This window comes from Homo sapiens, chromosome 16 (assembly GCF_000001405.40).
Source record: "Homo sapiens chromosome 16, GRCh38.p14 Primary Assembly".
NCBI classification, from domain to species: domain Eukaryota; kingdom Metazoa; phylum Chordata; class Mammalia; order Primates; family Hominidae; genus Homo; species Homo sapiens.
In genome coordinates this window covers 19,085,291-19,107,721 of record NC_000016.10, presented here as the reverse complement: position 1 = coordinate 19,107,721, position 22,431 = coordinate 19,085,291, and the positions used below count along the sequence as shown (strand labels likewise).

At 45.6% G+C, this 22,431-nt stretch overlaps 1 long non-coding RNA gene across 1 annotated transcript, besides 3 other annotated features; it reads right to left on the bottom strand.

Moving 5' to 3' along the window:
• Positions 1,035 to 1,893: an enhancer, noted in NCBI's record as "H3K27ac-H3K4me1 hESC enhancer chr16:19117151-19118009 (GRCh37/hg19 assembly coordinates)". NCBI's record gives its function as "activates a minimal SCP1, AML or CMV promoter by ChIP-STARR-seq in primed H9 embryonic stem cells {active_cell/tissue: H9 hESC(primed)}" and the evidence as "EXISTENCE:reporter gene assay evidence [ECO:0000049][PMID:30033119]".
• Positions 9,396 to 15,786, bottom strand: LOC124903656 (uncharacterized). The gene is made up of 2 exons (XR_007065010.1): positions 14,245 to 15,786; positions 9,396 to 10,050 (listed from the first exon to the last, which is right to left on the bottom strand). It is a non-coding gene; the product is annotated as an uncharacterized LOC124903656 (long non-coding RNA).
• Positions 11,950 to 12,009: an enhancer, noted in NCBI's record as "active region_10525". NCBI's record gives its function as "activates an Ori minimal core promoter by ATAC-STARR-seq in GM12878 lymphoblastoid cells {active_cell/tissue: GM12878}" and the evidence as "EXISTENCE:reporter gene assay evidence [ECO:0000049][PMID:35858748]".
• Positions 12,400 to 12,609: an enhancer, noted in NCBI's record as "active region_10524". NCBI's record gives its function as "activates an Ori minimal core promoter by ATAC-STARR-seq in GM12878 lymphoblastoid cells {active_cell/tissue: GM12878}" and the evidence as "EXISTENCE:reporter gene assay evidence [ECO:0000049][PMID:35858748]".
• Positions 15,787 to 22,431: the final 6,645 nt, after the last annotated feature.

Below are 22,431 nucleotides of genomic sequence, written 5' to 3'. Positions count from 1 at the left end.
GAGGGAGAAGTGATTCATTTCCCACAGTGGGAGCAGGGGGAGCTCATGGACAGGTAACATGTAACCAGGTTTTGAAGGACAGGAAACGATAGCCCATTTGATGCCTGTATCACACGCCTCCTAGATGTGGCGATTCCTCAGCAGTATCTCTTGAAATGCTCAGAACAAGCCCAATGAGGCAGGTGCTGTTATTATTGCCATTCACATATGAGAAAAGTGAGGACCAGCCTGGCCAACATAGTGAAACCCTGTCTCTACTAAAAATACAAAAAATTAGCTGGGCGTGGTGGTGCACACCTGTAATCCTAGCTGCTCGGGAGGCTGAGGTAGGAGAATCACTTGAACCCAGGAGGCAGAGGTTGCAGCAGGCCGGGATCGCTCACACCAGCCCGGGTGACAGTGCGAGACTCCGTCTCAAAGAAAAGAAAAAAGAAAAGTGAGGCTGAGAGAGGTTAAGTAACTTATTAGAAAACACTGCAGGGGCCGGGCGCAATGGCTCATGCCTGTAATCCCAGCACTTTGGGAGGCCAAGGTGGGTGGATCACTTGGGGTCATGAGTTTGAGAACAGCCTGGCCAACATGGTGAAACCCTGTCTCTACTAAAGATATAAAAATTAGCTGGGCATGGTGGCACATGCCTGTAATCCCAGCTACTCAGGAGGCTGAGGCGTGAGAATCACTTGAACCCAGGAGGTGGAGGTTGCAGTGAGCCAAGATCGTGCCACTGCACTTTAGCCTGGATGACAGAGCAAGACTCCATCTCAAAATAAATAAATAAAAATAAAAATCACACTCCAGCCTGAGCAACATAGTGAGACCCTGTCATAAAAAAAAAAAAATTAGCTGGGTGTGGTGGTGTATGCCTATTGTCCCAGCTGATCAGGAGGCTGAGGCAGGAGGATCACTTGGGCCTGGGAGGTTGAGGCTGCAGTGAGCCTGATGATTGCACCACTGCACTTCAGCCTGGGTGAGAGGGAGAGACCTGTCTCCAAAAAGTCACACAGCTGGCAAGTCTGACTACAGAGCTGGACTCTTCGTCCCTGTACTTCACTCTTTTACATTGTAAAGGGCTTAATAGGACAGAAAGGAAAAGAGCAGTGTAGTTTATGTTCATGTATATTTCCCTAACCAGATGATGAGGCTCTTGAAGTCAGGGACTTTGCCATATTCATTTTGGTATCCCGAGTAGCCTACGCCATGCCTGGTACTTTACAGAGATTTGTTGAATGAATGAATGAATGAATGAATGAATAGGATTTTGACCAGCAGAAATTCAAGGAGACCATTCCAGGTAATACAAACAAAATGTGCATATGCTTGTGGTCAAGGAGCATGTGACCGCTTGGGGGAACAGGACATCAGTCCTATTGTTACGGAAGTGTAGAATTTTTGAATGGACACCGTGGTTGCACTTACTAGCCATTCATTTCAGCTTTCCTCTAGGGAGCTTCTACAGCAGGAGCTGGGAAGCAAAACACATTCCCACATTTCCTGGCATGAAGACAGGAGCCACCCGAGACACCCGCTTTGCTAGTGTGGCTGGCAGCAGAGGTGGGGTGGTTCTGAAACTCCGCAGCTGGAGCAGGGGCCCTGGTTCTGCAGGCAGCTTCCTGGTGGGGACAGAGGCGGCGGCTTCCTTGGTGGCCCAGTTTCTGCTCTGTGGCTTAAGAGTTATTTCTGGAAGTTCCGCTCAGATTCCTTTACTGCAGCCTTCCCAGTGATTCTCAGACTCTCTGTGATAAATGACCTGTTGCTGGTTTGTTATTTAAAATTTCCTGTTGGTTCTACTCTGCAAGACTATCACATAGCTCATGTCATGTGCAATTCACAGACAACTTAGACTTTTGACGATTATTTTATTAAAAATCTGCTTTTGGCCAGGTGAGGTGGCTGGCGCCTGTAATCTCAGGACTTTGGGAGGCCAAGGTGGGAGTATTGCTTGAGACCAGGAATTCGAGATCAGTCTGGGCAAAAGAGCAAGATCCCATCTCTACACAAAAAAAAATTGTTAATCACCTTGCATGTTCAATATTTGACCAGGCCTATCTTTATTTAGAGATTATCCACACTGACCTGTGCCTAGAAAGATGAGCCTGTCAGTCACACTCTTGTAAATGTCACAGCAATGTCAAGTTGATGCAGATGTTTCTAAACACTCTCAAGGGACTGGACCAGGACCACCAGTAACAAGGGAGCCCAATGCACAACTTTGCCAACAATGCCACCCAGTACTGAATGGCAACCAAGCAACCCATGCCGATCTCTCTTGGGGAGTCTGAATGAATGGGACACAGAAGCCCTGAGGAAGGAGAATTCAGAATTAAGCAGAAGCCGTAAATCAGCAGAAGCTATAGAGTAGGCAAAGGCCAGGGGGCAATGGCAACCTCGGTGGGTCAGGGGAGAGTAGGAAGAAGCAAGGTGACCAAACAGCTGAGTCCAAGAATGTTGGGCTATCGGAGTTGATTTGGGGGCACAAAAGCTGCCGTGGGGCCTGAATGACCTTACAGCTCTTTTTTCTGGCTTGAGTAAGTAGTGCTGTCTGGGTTCCCTGTGATCCTTCTAACAATCCCTGCTGGAGTCTGAGATCGTCCGAATGTGTCTCTTCCTTGCCACCCAGACTGGTTGGATGGTGGCAGCATGGGGTGGGGAGGCTCTTCAGCCCAGATCCTCAGAAAACAGAACCTAAGGGTATGGCTTGCCTATGAGTGTTTTATGGGGAGTGGTTCAAGCCCAAGGAAGCTTTGCAGCAAACACAGCTGGTTCCTCCATCCCCTTCAAAGAGGCTGCACAGAGCCTCTTAATCTCTAAACAGTTGGGGAGAAAAAAGGGCAAACAATTGAGCTGATGATTCTTCCCATCTCCTGTCTCTTGTTGGTCAAAGGATACCCACAGGATATTTACTGCCCCCACTCCGGGCCTTGTCATCGGCTGATGCAGAAGCCAGCGTCCCTGAAAGTCCCTGCCTGTACATGTGGGTGGTCTCTCCTTATCGGTCAGCACCACACAAAGAGGTCCTTAGTCTGTGGCAGGAGTGGCAGCAGCCAGTTCTTTCCAGCTGTGAAAATAGAATGATCCCTTGCTAGAGCTGCGCTTGTTAAGAAACAAGGCAGGCCAGGTACGATGGTTCACACCTGGAATCCCAACACTTTGGGAGACAGAGGCGGGAAGATCACTTGAATCCAGGAATTTGAGGCTAGCCTGGACAACATAGTGAGACCCTGTCTCTACAAAAAATTATTTTAAAAAAATTAGCCAGGCGAGGTGGTGTACACTTGTAGTCCCAGCTACTCAGTGGCTGAGGTGGGAGGATTGCTTGAGCCCTGGGAGGCTGCGGCTGCAGTGAGCCCTAATCATGCCACTGCACACCAGCCTAGGCAACAGAACAAGACCCTGCCTCAAAACACACACACACAGAGACACACACACAGACACACACACACACACATGAAACAAGGCAAGTGGCTGAGGCCCAGGAGTGCAGATGGGGCCAAATGGATCTGGGGTGACCCATAAGCTGGGTCTGGTACAAAAGGCTTCCTGGAAGAGATGTCTGCTAAGCTGATTTTGGAGGATGAATTGATCGTTGTTAGATAAAGAGATGGAGAAGGACATCCTGGGCAGAAGTCACGTCATGCATGGAATCCTGGAGAAATGAAAGACCATGGTTTGAAATGCAGTGGGTCTGAAGTTTGGGACTGGAGAAAGCAATACTGAGAGATGAGACTGGAGAGTGTGCCACAAGGCAGGCCACGATGGACTCTGTGTACCATGTTGTTTGGTTAGGATGCTCTTGTCTGCAAGTAACAGAAGGCCCTCACTCTTCTAATTTAAACAACAAAGACATGTTACAACCTTACCTAACTGGACATCTGGAGGTGGAGTGGCTCCAGGCTTGCTTATTAAATGGCTCAACCATGATGTCAAGTTCCTTCCATCTTTCTGCTCTGATATCTTCAGACTAACTTTCCTCCTGGTTACACAGTGACAGCCATGGATCTAGGCATCACATCCAGACATAGCAACATCCATCAGAAAATGGACCTAGCACCATGCCTGGTACTTTATTGAGTTGACTCTCTTTTTTTAGCGGGATCTCTATTTTACAGCAAGGAAATCTTTTGCAGAAATCTCGTAACTTAGACACATGACCACATATAACAGCAAAGGAGGCTGGGAAATATACTCATTATCCTAGATTCTACGTGTCTTGCTAAACATAAGTGTTTCATTACTGTAAGAAAGAAAGAGAATAAATATTGGGGGACACTCATCACCCTTTGCCATAGTAGGCAACCAACAGTATCTGCTCCATGAGCCACTGTTGGATCAGTCCCATGCTAATTGTGATTTCTAATTAAGTGTATTTTCAAATATATTATAAGTTGCTTTGAGAGCAGGGTCCATGTCTGTCTTATAGGTACTCAATTACCTATAAGACCAACAGAACAAAAGAAGGAATGAATCTTATTTCAGTAGTCCAGCAAAGTAGCCCTGGATTGCTAAAGAACCTTTCATTAGAAAAATGCTCTTCCGGCTAGGCACGGTGCCTCACACCTATAATCCCAGCACTTTGGGAGGCCAAGGTGGGCGGATCACCTGAAGTCGGGAGTTTGAGACCAGCCTGACCAACTTGGAGAAATCCCATATCTACTAAAAATACAAAATTAGCTGGATGCAGTGGTGCATGTCTGTAATCCCAGCCACTTGGGATGCTGAGGCAGGAGAATCACTTGAACCCAGGAGGGAGAGGTTGCAGTGAGTGGAGATTGTGCCATTGCACTCCAGCCTGGTCAATGAGAGTTAAACTCTGTCTGAAAAAAAAAAAATGAAAAGAAAAGAAAGAAAGAAAAATGCTCTTCCCTGGTCTCTATTTTAGAGGCCACTGTCTCTATAAGAGTCATGAATAATGAAACCAACATCAGTCAAAGGAAAGCTTTGGTGTGGCAGAGATGAAGGGCCATGAGAGAGCTAATGAGTCTGTAATGCAATTTGGTGCCAATAAACTGGTACGATATTAACTCCAAGGCCATGAGATTTACACTATAAAGCCAACACAATTAAAGACTGAGAACCCGATCCCCCACCTGGTCCAGTTCTTCTAGTTCGAGTCATTTTATGGACGCCGACTTCCCGCTGACATTGTCTGGTGATGTCATGGTGAGAATTTTGACAGTCATTAAATTTCTGCCTGGAGGGCCAACGGGACCAAAGAAACTCAGATGTGAGTAGGACATAAAGCTACCGAGGGCAGAAAGCCGTTGTCTACAAAGTTAACATGTCAAACACAAGACCCCCTCTTCCTGGTCTCCTGCTAGCATTGTGGTGATGAGAGCCAGCTGTCTTGAACATTTACTAGGGGACAGGCAGTGTTCTAATTAGGCACTTGATTTAACTCATTCAGCCCTCCCGGCAAAGAACAACGTTATGGGCCAGGTGCGGTGGCTCACACGTAATCCCAGCACTTTGGGAGGCCTAGGCGGGCAGATCACGAGGCCGGGAGTTCAAGACCAGCCTGACTAACATGGTGAAACCCCATCTCTACTAAATATACAAAAATTAGCCAGGCATTGTGGCGTGCGCCTGTAATCCCAGCTATTCAGGAGACTGAGGCAGGAGAATCACTTGAACTGGGAGGTGCAGGTTGCAGTGAGCTGACATCACACCACTGCACTCCACCCTGGGCAACAGAGCGAGACTCTATCTCAAAAAAAAAAAAAAAAAAAAAAGAACAACTTTATGGACATGCACCACCACTCCCCACTAATTTTTTAATTTTTTAAAGAGAAGAGGCCTCACGCTGTTGCTCAGACTGGTCTCAAACTCCTGAACTCAAGTGATCCTCCTACCTTGCCTCTCAAAGTGCTGGGATTATAGGCATGAGCCACCTTGCTGGCCGTAGGTTCTATCTTTATCCCCATTTTGCAGACAGGGAAACTAAGGCATAGCCAGGATACATACATTGTATGAGATCAGGCAGCCAGATTCAAACCTATGCTTCCTACATTATACCTTTAATCACCCTAAACACTGCTTCAAGAAAGTTTTTCCAAATAAATGTCTGATGCTTTTTTTCCATGGTTTGAGGCAAGAGGAACAAAATAAGACATATGATGGGATTTTTTTTTTTGTAAAGCTCAATTTACAGTGGAGTCTCATCTTACAGGTCAGGGACATTTCTAAGTCAGCACATAGAAAATAAAATGTGTATTTACTTCAAATTACCTTTGTTCTATCAGTGTAGGAGTTTGAATTACAATTTGTCAAAACTTATTGAATGGTCCACTTTAGACTTGTGTGTTTCACGGTATCTAGATTTGATCTCAAAAAATCATAAACACGTATTGGATTCTAGCGAGTGATGTGCATGCTGAAGGGGTTACGGGTGAAGTATACTGACCTCAACAATTGCTTTTAACATGCATCAAAAAATAAGATGAATTGATGAGTGGAGAGGGGGTGGATAAAGGAATCGACATGAGATAAGGCCAGTTGAGTTCAACGTTAATGGTAGAATCTAGGTTGTGGGTATATGGGTGTTCACTACACAGTTCCTTCCATTTCTCTCTGTTTGGGGAAAAATGTAAATATAATGTTAAGGGAGAATGATCAGTTGAGCATTTGATGAAGAAGTTGGTTTGAGTTTAGGAGCCAAGTTGTGTGAATAATATATACCTTTAAACACTCAGCAAAGTGTGATGCTCACAATGTAAGATAATGTCAGACCAGCAATGGAGACTGGGAAATGTAGTCTATCCTGGATTCCATGTGTCCTGCTAAATGTAAGTGTTTCATTAGCATAAAAAAGAAAAAAAAGCAAATATTGAGGGACATGATCCCTTTACATCAGTAAAAAGATGAGGGAGATTGCCAACACTATTCAAAGCGTTTGCGGCTGGGTGTGGTGGCTCAAGCCTGTAATCCCATCACTTTGGGAGGCCAAGGCAGGAAGATCACTTGAGCTCAGGAGTTTGAGACCAACCTAAGCAACATGGCAGAACCTGTCTCTACAAAAAAATACAAAAATTAGCTGGGTGCAGTGGTGTGTGCCTGGAATCCCAGCTACTCAGGAGGCTGAGGTGGGAGGATCCCTTGAGCCCAGGAGGTTGAGGCTGCAGTGAGCTGTGATTGCACCACTGCACTCAAGCCTGGATGACAGAGTGAGAATCTATCTATCTATACATACATACATACATACACACATACATAAAATAAAGCATTCTCTTCCCACCCCAGAGCATTTTTGTTTGGGTAGCTGAATCCCAATAATTTAAATCTGTATGGGATGTGGTTTCAGTATAGTTATTTCAAAAATCTGTTCTTTTTGGATAATTTGCTCCAGAAGAAGACAGCTGTCCTGTTGTGAGGGCACTCAAGGACCCCTGTGAGGAGGCCCACATGCTGAAAAACTGAAGCTGCCTGCCAACAATCAGCACTAACGTGCTCGGTGTGTGCTGAGCCATACTGGAATCACTTCTGCCAGCCTCAGTCAAGCCTTCAGATAATGCAGCCTCAGCTGAGATCTTGACTGCAACTTCATGAGAGATCTTGAGCTAGAGCCACTCAGTGAAGCTGCTTCTAGGCTTCTGACCCACAAAAACTGCGTGAGATAATAAATGTTTATTGTTTTAAGCCACTAAAAAAAATAAGAATATATACTTCCACTCTGTTGGACATGAAAATAACCATTTTCTTCTAGGGGAAAACTGATACTAATGACAGTCAAAGCAGCTTCTCTTCTCTCCTTAAGTCCTAACTTAGTAAAATGAAAAGTTGGCAATTCTAGGTTAATCCCTCAAATACTTTACCTTCTGCCACTCAAAAATGTGGACAGGGCTTTTGTCTGCTTTGTTCCTTGTTACCTATCCAGTGCCTGGCATAGATAGTCACTCAATATATAAATAATTGTTGAATTAATTTTAATGCTTCATGAAATCTAAAACATTGAGGGAAAGAAAAACCTGCATCAACACACCAGAAGTCACTAAGTCATTACTAAATACATGGATGGTTAGACAGATGTCCCTAAACTATAGCCCAGCCACACACAACCTGTGACTATGTGTCCATAGACATAGTTGTCACGACCTCCCAACCAGCAGGAACAGAACCATGTCCCGTCCAGGATTCCCTTTATTGCAAGTAATCCTCCATCAGTTTCATCCTAAGGAGAAAAAGAATGACTCTTTTATATTCCCAAAGCCAAGAGGATCCTGTGTGTTTTGATGCCTAAAGAAAGGATCACTTGACGTTTGCATATTTCTGGTGGAGAAGGAAGAAAAGACTCTGCAGCAGTGGATGGAAACACAGCAGAGAAGCCCTGAACCATCATATTTCCTGCTCTCTAGATAGGCACAGTGGCAAATTCTGTCACCTACTTACTGAGACCTGATTTCTTGGCACATGGGTGCATCCACAGTTCATGATTCAACTCATGCTTAACAGTTGTCCACATTCTCAAGCCCTTGCTATGTGTCAAGTGCTGTGCTTTGCATATGCATTATTACTAAAACTCATAGCCAGTTTTTTTTGTTGTTGTTGTTTTGTTTTTTTTTGTTGTTGTTGTTTTGTTTTTTTTGTTTTGAGACAGAGTCTTGCTCTGTCACCCAGGCTGGAGTGCAGTGGCACAAACACAGCTAACTGCAGCTTCGACCTCCTGGGCTCAAGTGATACTTCCACCTCAGGTTCCCAACTAGTTGGGACTGCAGGTGCATGCCATCATGTCCAGCTAATTTTTTAACGTTCTGTAGACACAGGGGTCTCACCATGTTGCCCAGGCTGGTCTTGAACTCCTTGACTCATGCGATCCTCCTGCCTTGGCCCCCCAAAGTGTCATGGCCAATTTTTAAGGTCAGTATTAACATCATCACCCATTTTACAGATGAGGAAACTGAAATTCAGAAGGATTCTAAAATGTGTCTGTGTGCATCCAAATATGGGCAGATGGAACCAAAACTTGAACTCAGTTCCACCTGACTCCCACACCAGTGCCCTTACTTCTACATCATAAGGATTCTTTGAATTGAATATCAAAGTGGGTGGCACTGTCTTTGGGTCTATTTTACAAATGAGAACTAGAATTGAGACCATAAATTCAAACTTTCATCAATTACTATTATGGGGTTAGAATACTCCAGTGGATGTCTCTTGTTTCATTCTCTTTGGCATTCTTTCTCCCTTTTTCTGGTGACAGCACCCTGATTTTTCTCCACACCTCCCCAGTTCTCAGTTCATTGATCTGGCCCCAATGGCCAACTCCAGGAAAAAACACATGGCCTAGGCCTGTCCACTACCCCTCTGCTCACTGTGTGTTTCAGAGTGGGAAAGTGATCCAAGCTGACCCAATAAGAGAGTATCAGTTAGCTTCTGCTGCATAACAAACATCCCCAAACTTGAAGTCTTCACTAACAAATATTTATTATTTTTAGTAATTCTGTGGGTTGGCAGAGTGGTTCGTCTGGCCTAGGCCAATTCAGCTGATCTGTGTGGTCTCTTGGTGGCTTGGCTGGAGCTGAGTGATCTAGGATGGTCTCACTCTCATGTCTGGTGGTTGGTAAGCTGGCTGGTCTAGGGGTTCCACACCTGGGACTGCTTGTCTCTGCTCCATGTAATTTCCCATCCTCTAGTAGGCTATTTCAGTCTTGTTTATGTGACAGCAGCATTCAAAGAAATCCAGAGCAAAGGCTGAAAAGCATGTTGTCTTAGGCTTGAAACTCATATATTTTCACTGTCACTTTTACCACATTCTATTGTTCAAAACAAGTCACAAATCCAGCCCAGATGCAGGGATTGGAGTAATACATGCCACCTCATAGTGGAAGGAGCTGCAAAGAATTTGAGGCCATGTGCAATTTACTCCAGAGTCAATCTTGAGGCTTTTGCTGGAAAATTAAGAAAGAAAAGCCCTTTTCCCATCAAGGGTACTGGTTGAGTAAGCCTGGAGATGCTGCCAGGTGTCTTGTCATGGCAAGGAAAAGCCTTGCTGGAGAGGAAAGGATCACAAAGACTAGAGATAGAAATCGGCTTCACTGGAACTTCTGGATCCAGTCAGACCTGAAATTGACACACACCTGTAAATCTCAGCACTTTGGGAGACCTAGGTGGGAGGATCGCTTGAGCCCAGGAGTTTGAGACCAGCCTGGGCAAATTTTTTTCTCTTCACAAAAATTTAAAAATTAGCTGGATGTGAGGTGGGAGGATCACTTGAGACCAAGAGGTTGAGGCTACAGTGAGCTGTGATCACATCACTACACTCCAGCCTGGGCAACAGAGCAAGACTCTGTCTTAAGAGAAAAAAAAAAAGAAGATGGTGCTGAAGTTGGGTTTCACAGAAGATGGTGCTGAAGTTGAGTTTCACACAAGTGTCTGCTTTTGCCTTCAGCAGATATGGGATAAGACTGCAGGAATTTTCAGAAAAGATGCAAGAAGAGTTGTCACATACTCATTTTTGTTTGCTTGTTTGTTTTTTGAGATAGAGTCTCACTCTGTTGCCCACGCTGGAGTGCCGTGGCTTGATCTCAGCTCACTGCAACCTCCACCTCCCAGGTTCAAGGGATTCTCCTGCCTCAGCCTCCTGAGTAGCTGGGATTATAGGCATGTGCCACCACACCCAGCTAATTTTTGTACTTTTAGGAGAGATAGGGTTCCGCCATGTTGGCCAGGCTGGTCTCGAACTCCTGACCTCAAGTGATCCACCCGCCTCGGCCTCCCAAAGTACTGGGATTAGAGGGGTGAGCCACCCCCTGGCCTTGTAGCATACTAATTTAATGATGAGCAGGTTAACTGGAACCTTCTGATCTGGAAAAGGTGGCTGGTTTGGAATATCGGTCACTTTTTTTCGTGCTATGTTAATGCCTCCATGGGTAACCAAATCGCTTCCAGTTTTTCCCTTAGGGTGAAACAGAGAAGCCTCATCACAAAATCCAATGACACCTAAACGCAATGCTCTTTGTTTTTTGTTTTCTTAGAGATGGGGTCTTGCTATGTTGCCCAAGCTGGTCTCGAACTCCTGGACTCAAGAAATCCTCCCACCTCAATTTATTTTATTTTATTTTTTGTAGAGATTAGGTCTGGGCTATGTTGCCCAGGCCGGTCTCTAACTCTGGGCTTCAAGTAACACCCCCGCATCCCCTCAACCGCCTTACCCTCCCAAAGTACTGGGATTATAGGCAGAAGCCACCACGCCCAGCCTACAATGTTTACAATTTGGTAATTTGTACCTCTAAGACTCTTCAGAAGAAAATACTTAGAAATGAAAATGGAACATATGAAAATGGACGGACATTGTCGATGTCTGGAATATAGTAAAGTCAAATTAGGGACACTTTTAATTTATGTGAATTCAGCTATAAGTATATGGCAGAAAGAGGACAGAGCGAGAAAGGAGTGGGAGGCTGGGCGCGGTGACTCACACCTGTAACCCCAGCACTTTGAGAGGCTGAGGTGAGTAAATCACTTGAGGTCAGGAGTTCGAGACCAGCCTGGCCCACATGGTGAAACCCTGTCTGTACTAAAAATACAAAAATTAGCCAGGCGTGGTGGTGGGCGCCTGTAATTCCAGCTACTCAGGAGGCTGAGGCGGGAGAATTGCTTGAACTTGGGAGGCAGAGGTTGCAGTGAGCCGAGATCACACCACTGCATTCCAGCCTGGGTGACAGAGCAAGACTCTATCTCACCAAAAAAAAAAAAAAAAAAAAAAAAAGAGGGAGAGAGAGAGAGGGAGAATATGGAAGAATGTGAAAGTCACAAACATTGCCGGGGAGTCCATCTACCTGTGAATCTTTGAAAGGCCTGTGAGAAGGGAACTGAAATTGGCTGTTGGCCCCTCAGGCTAGGCCAGTTTCCCCACCTGCTGGGTATGACTCATGTTTAAAGATTTCTATTTTCCTTCAACGTCATCCCTAGAAACAAATGTCTTACAGAACTATTAAATTAAGTTTAGCCTAAAGCCACTTTGGGAGGCCAAGGTGGGCAGGTCACTTGAGGTCAGGAGTTCAAGACTAGCTGGCCGACATGCTAAAACCTCGTCTCTACTGAAAATACAAAAATTAGCCAGGCATGGTGGTGCGTGCCTGTAATCCCAGCTACTTGGGAGGCTGAGGCAGGACAATCGCTTGAACCCGGGAGGTGGAGGTTATAGTGAGCCGAGATCGCGCCACTGCACTCCAGCCTGAGCAATAAAGTGAGACTTCGTCTCAAAAACAAAACAAAAAATAATAATAATAAAGATTTCTATTTTCCTTCAACATCATCCCTAGAAACAATGTCTTACAGAGCTGTTAAATTAAGCTTAACCTAAAGCTGCCTCCTAACATATTTTTAGTTCTGTGTAAAGGTTTCTCCATCCATAATGGACTGTAACCTAACTGGAGGTATAAACAGACCATAAACTACTCATGTGCCAATCACCGAGTTTTGCCCAATCACAGAAGGCCAACTGTTCAAGCCGTATCAAATAAAGCAAACACTGAGCTGTAACCAATCCAGCTGTTTCTGTACCTCACTTCCGTTTTCACTTTCCTTTCTCTGTCCATACATCTTCTTTGACCACGTGGCTGCACCAGAGTCTCCCTGAACCTATTCTGTTTCAAGGGCTGCCCAATTCATGAATCTTTCTTTGCTCAATTCAACTCTGTTAAATTTAATTTGTCTAAGGTTTTACTTTTGATAGAGCTCAACTGAAGAAATGCAGCGATGTGTTCCGGCCCTGGGAAAAAATAAACTATGTGTATGGAGTTCTTGGGAGACTCTGTACTCAAGGGCGTCTTTGACAATAGTGATTTTCACCATCCTGGCTGACCTTGGAACCTCCCCCGACCTCAGCTCCACATGGAAAGAGATGGAGAGAATGAACAGGTCTCTTACTCTGAAACCTTCAATAACTCTCGCTTAGAAATATTGGAGTCCATTGCAGTTTCAAATACTCTTGCTAGAGGGCATAATATCCTTCAACCTACCCCAACCCGTTGAATTCATGGAAATGTGGATGTAACTTCTAAATCCTCAGAAGCTAACTAACCTCGGGCTGGGCATGGTGGCTCTCACCTGTAATCCCAGAACTTTGGGAGGCTGAGATAGCAGGATCACTTGAGCCCAGGAGTTTGAGACCAACCTGGGCAACATAGTGAGACCCTGTCTACAAAAAAAAAAAAAATAGCTAGGCATGGTTGTGCCCACCAGTAGTCCCAGCCATTCGGGAGGCTGAGGCAGGAAAATTACTCGAGCCCAGGAGGTTGAGGATGCAGTGAGCCATGATCACGCCACTACACTCCAGCCTCCGGGATGCAGCGAGACCCTGTCTCAAAAAAAAAAAAAAAAAAATTAAAAAAGCTAACTTCCCAGTGATCTGGGACTCCTTGCTCCGGAACCTCTTGAGCAGCTTTTCTAAACCACCTCCCTGCTCACCTGATCGTGCTGCAAGATTGGCACTAACAAGATGCTCCTCTCTGCTGACAGTCACACTGGCAGCTTCTCACCTAGACACATAAGGCTCCCCCAAGCCTAGCCACCTTCTTTGTCACTTCATGCTCTGACCATCAGCTTGACAAAATGCCGAGTCGCCTTTGTGTACCTGGCTCTTGGACACAGAGGTCCTTCATTTTTCCTCCTTTGTTGAGGGCACTTTGTGAGCAAAGAAGGAGTGAATTTGGCTCTCTTTTTATAGCCCTATCTAAAGGTCAGCCTTTTTTTCCTGCAGCTGGAGGTGATCTACGCCACACCGTGCGCTTAAAAGTGATGGATCGTCAGCCCTGCCCTCGTGTCAGGGCTGTGCGGAGCACATAATCTACCTTCCATTTCTTCTGCAAAGCCACCTGAGGTTTAATTTGATGTGTTTCATTTCTGACCCTGCATGAAGGACCACCTCAACACCTGCATGTTTTAGGAGGTTTTGAACAATATCCACTTTGTCAATCACCTGGGATCTCCAGTCCACACCATGCCCAGTAGGAAGCCAGTGTTCACTTTGCATGAGTGAAAACTCAAAGCCCAAACTAGGCACAGCTTATCTTAACCACACAGAGGGATGGAAAAGGCAGGCAGCTATGTTTACTCAGAGTTATTTTAACAGAATGATCCTTGTCCTACTCTGTGACTTTTGTTCACCTAACAGGTATTTCTGTTTATTATAGATAATTCATTCAATATTCATTGATTCAAAAAATAGTGATTGTCTTTGTCCATTTTCTGTTGCTTATTACAGAATACCTGAAACTGGGTAATTTACAAGGAAAATAATTTATTACTTACAGTTATGGAGGCTGGGAAGTCCAAGGTTAAGGGGCCGCTCTGGTGAAGGCCTTCTTGCTGGTGGGGACCCTCTGCAGAGTCCCGAGATGGCACAGGGCATCACAGAGCAAGGGGGTTGAGTGTGCTAGCTCAGATCTCTCTTTCTCTTCTTATAAAGCCGCCAGTTCTAAAGCCTGTAGTCCCAGCTACTCAGAAGGCTGAGGGAGGAGAATTGCTTGAACCCAGGAGGCAGAGGTTGCAGTGAGCTAAACTCCAGCCTAGGCAACAGGAGAGAGAGAGAGACAGAGACAGAGACAGAGAGAGACAGAGAGAAGAAATAAAAGCAGGAAGGAAAGAGAAAGAAAAAGAAAGGAAAGAAAAGAAAGAAAGAAAGAGAGAAGGAAGGAAGGAAGGAAAGAAAGAGAAGGAAGGAAGGAAGGAAAGAAAGAAAAAGAAAGAAAGAAAGGAAGGGAGGGAGGGAGGGAAAAGAAATGAGAAAAGAAAAGAGGGAGGGAGGAGGGAAGGAAGGAAAGAAAGAAAGAGGGAGGGAGGGAAAAGAAAAGAAATGAGAAAAGAAAAGAGGGAGGGAGGAGGGAAGGAAGGAAGGAAAGAAGGAAGGAAAGAAGGAAGGAAGGGAAAAGAAAATTGCAGATAATTTTTCTTTGGACACTATCAGATCCCTCAACAAACAATATCATCAGCCACACCCTTCTTCATCACCTTAAGAAGTATGGAGATGTGAAGTATATTTTATGTTCATGTGCTTTGATCAATCCCAATAACTTTCAATTTCCTAATTTCACATATGATAAATCTCCAAATGCCTCAAATAGGTCCATGGTCCTTCTGACCTATAAGTGAAATCATTACTAACTGCTGTGGATCTGAAAGGGAGACACAATGACTCCAACGAGTTGAGGATCATCCTTCCAAACCTCTCTACCTGTCAAGGAAATAGATTTGAAAGCAATGCAAGCAGGTGAAATTTCAGGTTTTAAGATTAATTAGATGTTGAGGGTGAGGCTGAAGAAAGAATACATGTTGGCCTCTAGTTTAGGCAACTGTGTGGAACTTTCAATCCCCAGTGGCTGGAATTCTATCTGGCACAGGGCACATGCCAAATAAATGTTTGTGAATGAAAAAATAAACAAAAAAACTTCCCCTGAAATGAATCACTTCCCTTGACTTCCTTATTTTTGTCCTATATTTTGATCGTTTTCCTAGTCATTCAGCCTTAAACTCATCACTGACTCATCTTGAGGTCTTGTAATTGTTGGGGTTCTCTGGAGAAACAGAATCACAGAACCAATGCGCGCGCGCACACACACACACACACACACAGAGAGAGAGAGAGAGAGAGAGAGAGAGATTTATTATAAAGAATTTGCTCAGAGCAATTATGAAAGCTGAGAAGTCTCAAGATCTGCAGTTGGCTAGCTGGAGACCCAAGAGAGCTGATAGTGTCGTTCCAGTCCAAACGTCACTGACTTGAGCCAGGCACAGTGGCTCACGCCTGTAATCCCAGCACTTTGGGAGGCCAAGGCAGGGGTGGATTGCTTAAGTCCCTGTATTAGTCCGTTCTCATGCTGCTAATACATATTGGAGACTGGGTAATTTATAAAGAAAAGAGGTTTAATTGACTCACAGTTTTGCATGGCTGGGGAGGCCTCAAGAAATTTACAATCATGGTGGATGGGGAAGCAAACACGTCCTTCTTCACATAGCAGCAGGGGAGAGAAGAATGAGTGCCCAGCAAAGGGGGAAGCCCCTTATAAAAACATCAGATTTCATGAGAACTCACTCACTATCACAAGAACAGGATGGGGAAAACCACCGCCATGATTCAATTATCTCCCCCTGGGGGAACTACAATTCAAGATAAGATTTTGGTGGGACCACAGCCAAACTGTATCAGTCCAGGAGTTCAAGACTAACCTGGGCAACATAGTGAAACCCCATCACGACAAAAAAAAAAAAAAAAAAAAAAAAAAAAAATATATATATATATATATATATATATATATACACACACACACAAATTAGCTAGGCATGGTGGCGCGTACCTGTAGTCCCAGCTACTCAGAGGGCTGAGGTAGGAGAATTGCTTGAGCCTGGGAGGCAGAGGTTGCAGTGACATAAGATCACACCAAGATCACTGAACTCTAGCCTGGGTGACAGAGTGATACCCTATCTCAAGAAAACCATCAGCAACAACAGCAAAAGTCACTGACTTGAGACCCAAGAAAGACCAATGTTTCAATTCAAGTCTGAAGGCCAGAAAGAAAACGATGTCCCGGCTTGCAGGCTGTCAGACAGGAGGCGCTCCCTCTTACTCAGCCTTTTTGTTCCATTCAAACCTTCAACTGATTGGACAGGGCTCATCCACATTAGGAAGGGCAGTCGGCCTTACTCAATCTATTGACTATAATGTTCATCGGACCCAGAAACACCCTCACAGACACACCCGGAATAATGTTTGAGCAAATGTCTGGGCACCCTGTGGCCCAGTCAAGTGGACACACAAAATTAACCATCCCAGGTCCTTTCCAATTAGTCACCAACATCTGTTCTTTTCTGGAGAGTTGATTTCTATCCTGGCAGGAAAGAGAGGCACATGGAAAAGAGGCTTATTGAAGGGAACTGAATGAGGGGACTGGTCAGAAAGGTCAGCACAGGATGAAGGGAACTTATGATTGAAGGCTGGTGATGCTTCCAAGGACCTGCATCTGTAAGAGGATGCTATGACCTGTGGATTGAGAAGGCATGCAGGGGGGGTGGACTAGGCACTCACTGTCCAAAGCACTTAATACATTAACCTTCAAATAAAGTTTAATGAGATATAATTACATACCATACAATTCACCAATTTAAGGTATACATTCAGAGTCATGCAACCATCATCACAGTCTATTTTAGAGCATTTTCATTGCTGCAAAGGTAAATCCTGCACCCTTTGCCATTAGCCTCTGATGCCCCAGTTCCCCCTAGCCCTAGGCACTCACTGATCTACTTTCTTTTCTTTTTTTTTTTTTTTTTTTTTTTGAGACAGAGTCTCACTCTGCCACCCAGGCTGGAGTGCAGTGTCGCGATCTCAGCTCACTGCAACCTCCGCCTCCTGGGTTCAAGCGATTCTCATGCCTCAGCCTCCCAAGTAGCTGGGATTACAGGTATACGCCACCACACCTGGCTCATTTTTATATTTTTAGTAGAGATGAGGCTTCTCCATGTTGGCCAGGCTGGTCTTGAACTCCTGACCTCAGTTGATCTGTCATCTCGGCCTCCCAAATGCTAAGATTACAGGCGTGAGCCGCCATGCCCAGCCTACTTTCTGTCTCTACAGATTTGCCTATGCCGGGCATTCTAGGTAAATGGAATCATGCAATAGGTGGTGTTTTGTGACTGGCTTCCTTCACTTAGCATATTGTTTTCAAGGTTCAGCCATGACAACCCAGGTGTTCTCATTTTACAAGTAAGAACATTAGAAGTTGGGTAACACTTGGTAAGTGGTAAGCAAGGATACCTCTCCCATCCCCGCCACTGGTGGTGTAGCCCATTACACTACACTGCCTCTGGGTCCCCATAGAGCTCTCACCCAGGTCTTCACCCACCCTCAAGACCAGCACTACCTAAATGTCCCCCACTGGGTTCCGTCTTCCTGTCTCCAGGCCATCCTGACCCCACTGCCTAATTGTTATCCACTCTCAAGTCCTGACTACATCTTGACCTCCTGGGCTCAGGGGACATTAGGCCTTTTGATCTGCCCAACATCTGTTCTCTCTTCTGGGACACGACTCTGGCTTCCTCTGTGGGAACCACCCCTACCCAACTCTCAGCCCACCGGGCTTGGGTGGAGTTTTTCCCACTCCACCTGCTGCAGGAGTAGCCATGTGGCCAGGCCTGGCCAATGAGAGCTCCACAGGCCTCCCCAGTCCACAGTGATTGGTGGAGGGTCAGGAATGTAACCTGATTGGGGAAAAGTAAGGCTAGAGATGGGGAAGGGGTGTGTGTTGTGGATTCTAGCAGCTTCCCTGTGTTCTGCAGAAGCAAGAGGAAGAGACTGTCATCTTTCTTGTGGATGGAGGAGTGTTAGGATGTCCTATATAGAAGTGCTATGGCCATTTTGCTGCCATAGGTGAGGAGGACCACGGGGCCGGGGGGGTGGGGAGAGGGTCACTGTGAGCCTAATATCAACACTGTGGAAAGCAGTGAAATGAGAGAAAGAGAAAGAAAAGTCGAATGTTTGGTTTCAGTTCCTGGATCAAGCAATACCTGAAGAAAGAGCCCTCTGGATCCCTGATTTAGCAGAGCTAATAACTTCCTATTAGAAGCAAAGGTGGCTCACGTCTGTAATCCCAGCACTTTGGGAGGCTGAGGCGAGCAGATCACTTTGGGCCAGGAGTTCAAGACCAGCCTGGGCAACATGGCGAAACCTCATCTCTACTAAAATACAAAGATTAGCCAGGCATGGTGGTGCACGCCTGTAATACCAGCTACTTGGGAGGCTGTGGCAGGAGAATCGCTTGAACCTGGAAGGCCAAGTTTGCAGTGAGCTATGATGGTGCCGCTGTCCTCCAAAGAAGCAAAAGTGAAATGTTTTGTGTTGCTTTTAAATGATATAAGGGGAAAATATGAATTTCATGTTCTAAAATTCTTTTATTCCTCAGCACTTAGAATAATGTGTGCCCTTAAAGCGGTCAAATGAATAACTCCAATAATTATTCTTTAAGTGCCCATGTGGTCTTATTTAAACATACACACATACACAGAGCATCAATAAGTAAGTGCAACAGGTGTCATTCCCGTGCAGGTTTTTTTTTTTTTAATTGTTGCAATAAAGCCATTTAGAAATTAGGCATGGAAAATACCATAGAGAGGCTGCCGCCCCAGCAGAATGGGAAGCATGGGTGTTTGCCATTGTTTCCACCTGGCAAAGACAGCTTGGTCTGAAACATGTTTCCAGCTGTCACAGCACTGAATAAGTTACAGAAAATTGGAACAATAGGTCATATCCTAGCAGAAAACAGTGCAGGAAAAGCGGGACAGAATGGACATCCTGAATCAGCCCAGGCAAGTAGGATGTAAAGCGGGGAAAGTACATCCAAGCAGAAGCAGATTTAGGATGAATGCTTTTGTGGAATTAAACTATTGCTTCTTCTTTTTAAAAAATTATTATTAATATTATGATTATTATTATTATTGATACGGAGTCTCGCTCTGTCACCCAGACTGGAGTTCAGTGGAACCATCTTAGCTCACTACAACCTCCACCTCCAGGGTTCAAGCGATTCTCCTGCCTCAGCCTCCTGAGTAGCTGAAATTACAGGCACCTGCCACCGCACCTGGCTAATTTTTGTATTTTTAGTAGAGACAGGGTTTCTCCAAGTTGGTGAGGCTGGTCTTGAACTCCTGACTTCAAGTGATCCACTCGCCTTGGCCTCCCAAAGTGCTGGGATTACAGGCGTGAGTCACCGCGCCCGGCCAAATTTATTGAGACAGGGTCTCCCTGTGTTGCACAGCCTGGTCTCAAACTTCTGAGTTCTAGTGATCTGCCTGCCTCGGCCTCTCAAAGTGCTGGAAACCGCACCCGGCTTAAACCATTGCTTCTTAACCAGGGCTACACATCAGAGGTCCTGTGGGAGTTTTTATAATACGGTCATCCCTTAGGCCCAGCCCCATAGCTGCTGCTTCAGTAGGACTGGATAGAGCAGGAGCATTCATAGATTTTTTTTTTTTTTTTAATCTCGGGTTTATTCTGACTGGCATGCCCAGTTAAAAATCCAGGGTTAAACATTGGGAAATTCTAATTTTGGAAATATAATTGGATTTTTTTTAAGTGCAGGGAAGAAAGTATCATAAAGAGAAATTCTCAAAAGAAAGAAAGAAAGAAACACTTTGGGAGGCTGAGGCAGGATCGCTTAAGGCCAGGAGTTCGAGACCAGCCTGGACAAAATAGTGAGACCTCGTCATTAAAAATAAAAATAAAAATGAGATGGGCGCCGGGCGTGGTGGCTCACGCCTGTAATCCCAGCACTTTGGGAGGCCGAGACGGTGGATCACCTGAGGTCAGGAGTTCGAGACCAGACTGGCCAACATGGTGAAACCCCGTCTCTACTTAAAATAAAATTTAAAAAATCAGCTGGGTGTGGTGGTACGCACCTGTAATCCCAGGTACTCGGGAGGCTGAGGCAGGAGAATCGCTTGAACCTGGGTGGCGGAGGTTGCAGTGAGCCGAGATCGTGCCATTGCACTCCAGACTAGGGGACAAGAGCGAGACTTCGTCTCAAAAAAAAAAAAAAAAAAAAAAAAAAAATTAGATGGGCATGGTGGTTCACACCTGTAACCCCAGCACTTTAGGTGGCTGAGGAAGGAGAATCGCTTGAACCTAGGAGTTAGAGGCTGCAGTGAGCTATGGTTAGCCTGGGCGACATAGCAAGACCCTGTCTCTTACAGAAAAAAAAAACAAAAAAACAGTGCAGCCCCTTGGATGTTGTCTGATGCCTGAAGCTGGTTTTTCCACATGGCTCCCCTAGATAGAGTCTAATCGTCCCCGTTTTCCTGTTTCCCTTTTCTGAAAAAGAAAAATGTATCCTCCGGGATAGGACACCCGAGACGCATGGACGGCGCAGACTGGAGCAGCCAGCCGAGCCCTCCGCCTCTGGCCGTGCACACACGTGACATCAGTTCCCGTTCAACAAAGTCGAGATCGCGGGACTGGAGGATTGTGGCCAGGGTATCATATGTACCATATATAACGCGCAGCAATGACCCGGCCCTCCTGCCGGGCGTTGTCCCGCCGGCCTTGCAACAGAGCCTCGCAGGGTTCGCAGCGTGGGGCGCGGGCGCCCTCTGCCGGACACAGGCGGGCGCCGAGGGCCCGAGACCTTCTTTGCCCTTGGCGCGCCCGGGAGCCGATCTCTACGCGATCCAGGATGAAAGAACCTGCAGTGCTCGGGCTCAGCCCCTCAGGGTTGCCGTTTCAGAGGCAGAAGTGGGAGGACGCACGTCCTGGGGGCGAGAAGCGCCTTTTCAAGCTCTGAACACATGAGGTGGGAAAGTGCTTTGCGCTCCGGGATGTTTCTCGGGAACCCGCAGAAGCCAGACATGAGCGGTGTTGAGGCTGAAGCTCCACTTTGAAAGGTGTCTTTGGTTTCCCTGAGTTGGGAAAGGTTGTGTTTTCTTGGCCTCAAATCACCTGGATCAAGGGATCTTAAGGAGGACCTTAATGAGGGTCTGGTGTTTTTATTAAATTATCAGAGGTATGGGATCTTCCCAAGGGTTAAAACCTTGAGCTCGTCCTTCCTTCCCAGGGGTCCCTCCTTCTGAAAGATGGTCCTCCTAAGCGTTAGGGGGCCCCCAAAAGCCTGTGTTAGAAGTAACCCAGGCCGGGCGTGGTGTGGCTCACGCCCATAATCCCAACTACTTGGGAAGCTGAGGCAGGAAGATCGCTTGAGCCTGGGAATTTGAGGCTGCAGTGAGCTATGATCACCCCACTGCCCTCCAGCCTGGACAATAGGAGACCCTGTCTCAGGAAAAAAAAAAAAAAAAAAAAAAGGCAACCCAGATGTCCACCAAGAGGCAAAAAGATAAGATAAGCGGAGGAAGAATGGCTTAGTAGTTAAGTTTACAGCCTCTGGAACCAGGCCAAGGAGGTTCAACCACAGGCCTGGGCTGTGGTAGGAGCTGGGTCAGGTCAGCAGTGGTTCATAGAAGAGTATGGCAGCCAATTAAAGGAACGAGATGGAGCTCTATGAACTGACTTGGGAAGATGGCCAGTGTAGGTCACCGAGTGAAATGCACAGATTGCAGATCCAATGCATAATATTATTCCATTTGGGGAACAATACAAACTCAAACATGTATGTGGATAAAAGATTTCTAAAAACCATCCAGAAAGATACACACTGAATTATTAATAGTAGTTGCTTCTAGGGAACATTTGGAAGAAGAGCCTTTTTTTATTTTTCTCTTTCCTTTTTCTACTTATATGCAGTTTATATTTGATTTTGAGGCAAGTATTACTTTTGGAGGTGGAAAAAAAGAGAAAAATGCACTTAGTGGTAGGTTGCTACTAGCTTATCTCGAAGGAAATTGGTAACAGATTTACCAATTTACTGTTAATCAACAGTCTACAGGGAGATTTACTTGTCACTGTAAATACCCTTTAGCACTGTTGGGATATTTTCCTATGTGCATACATGCATTTTTATT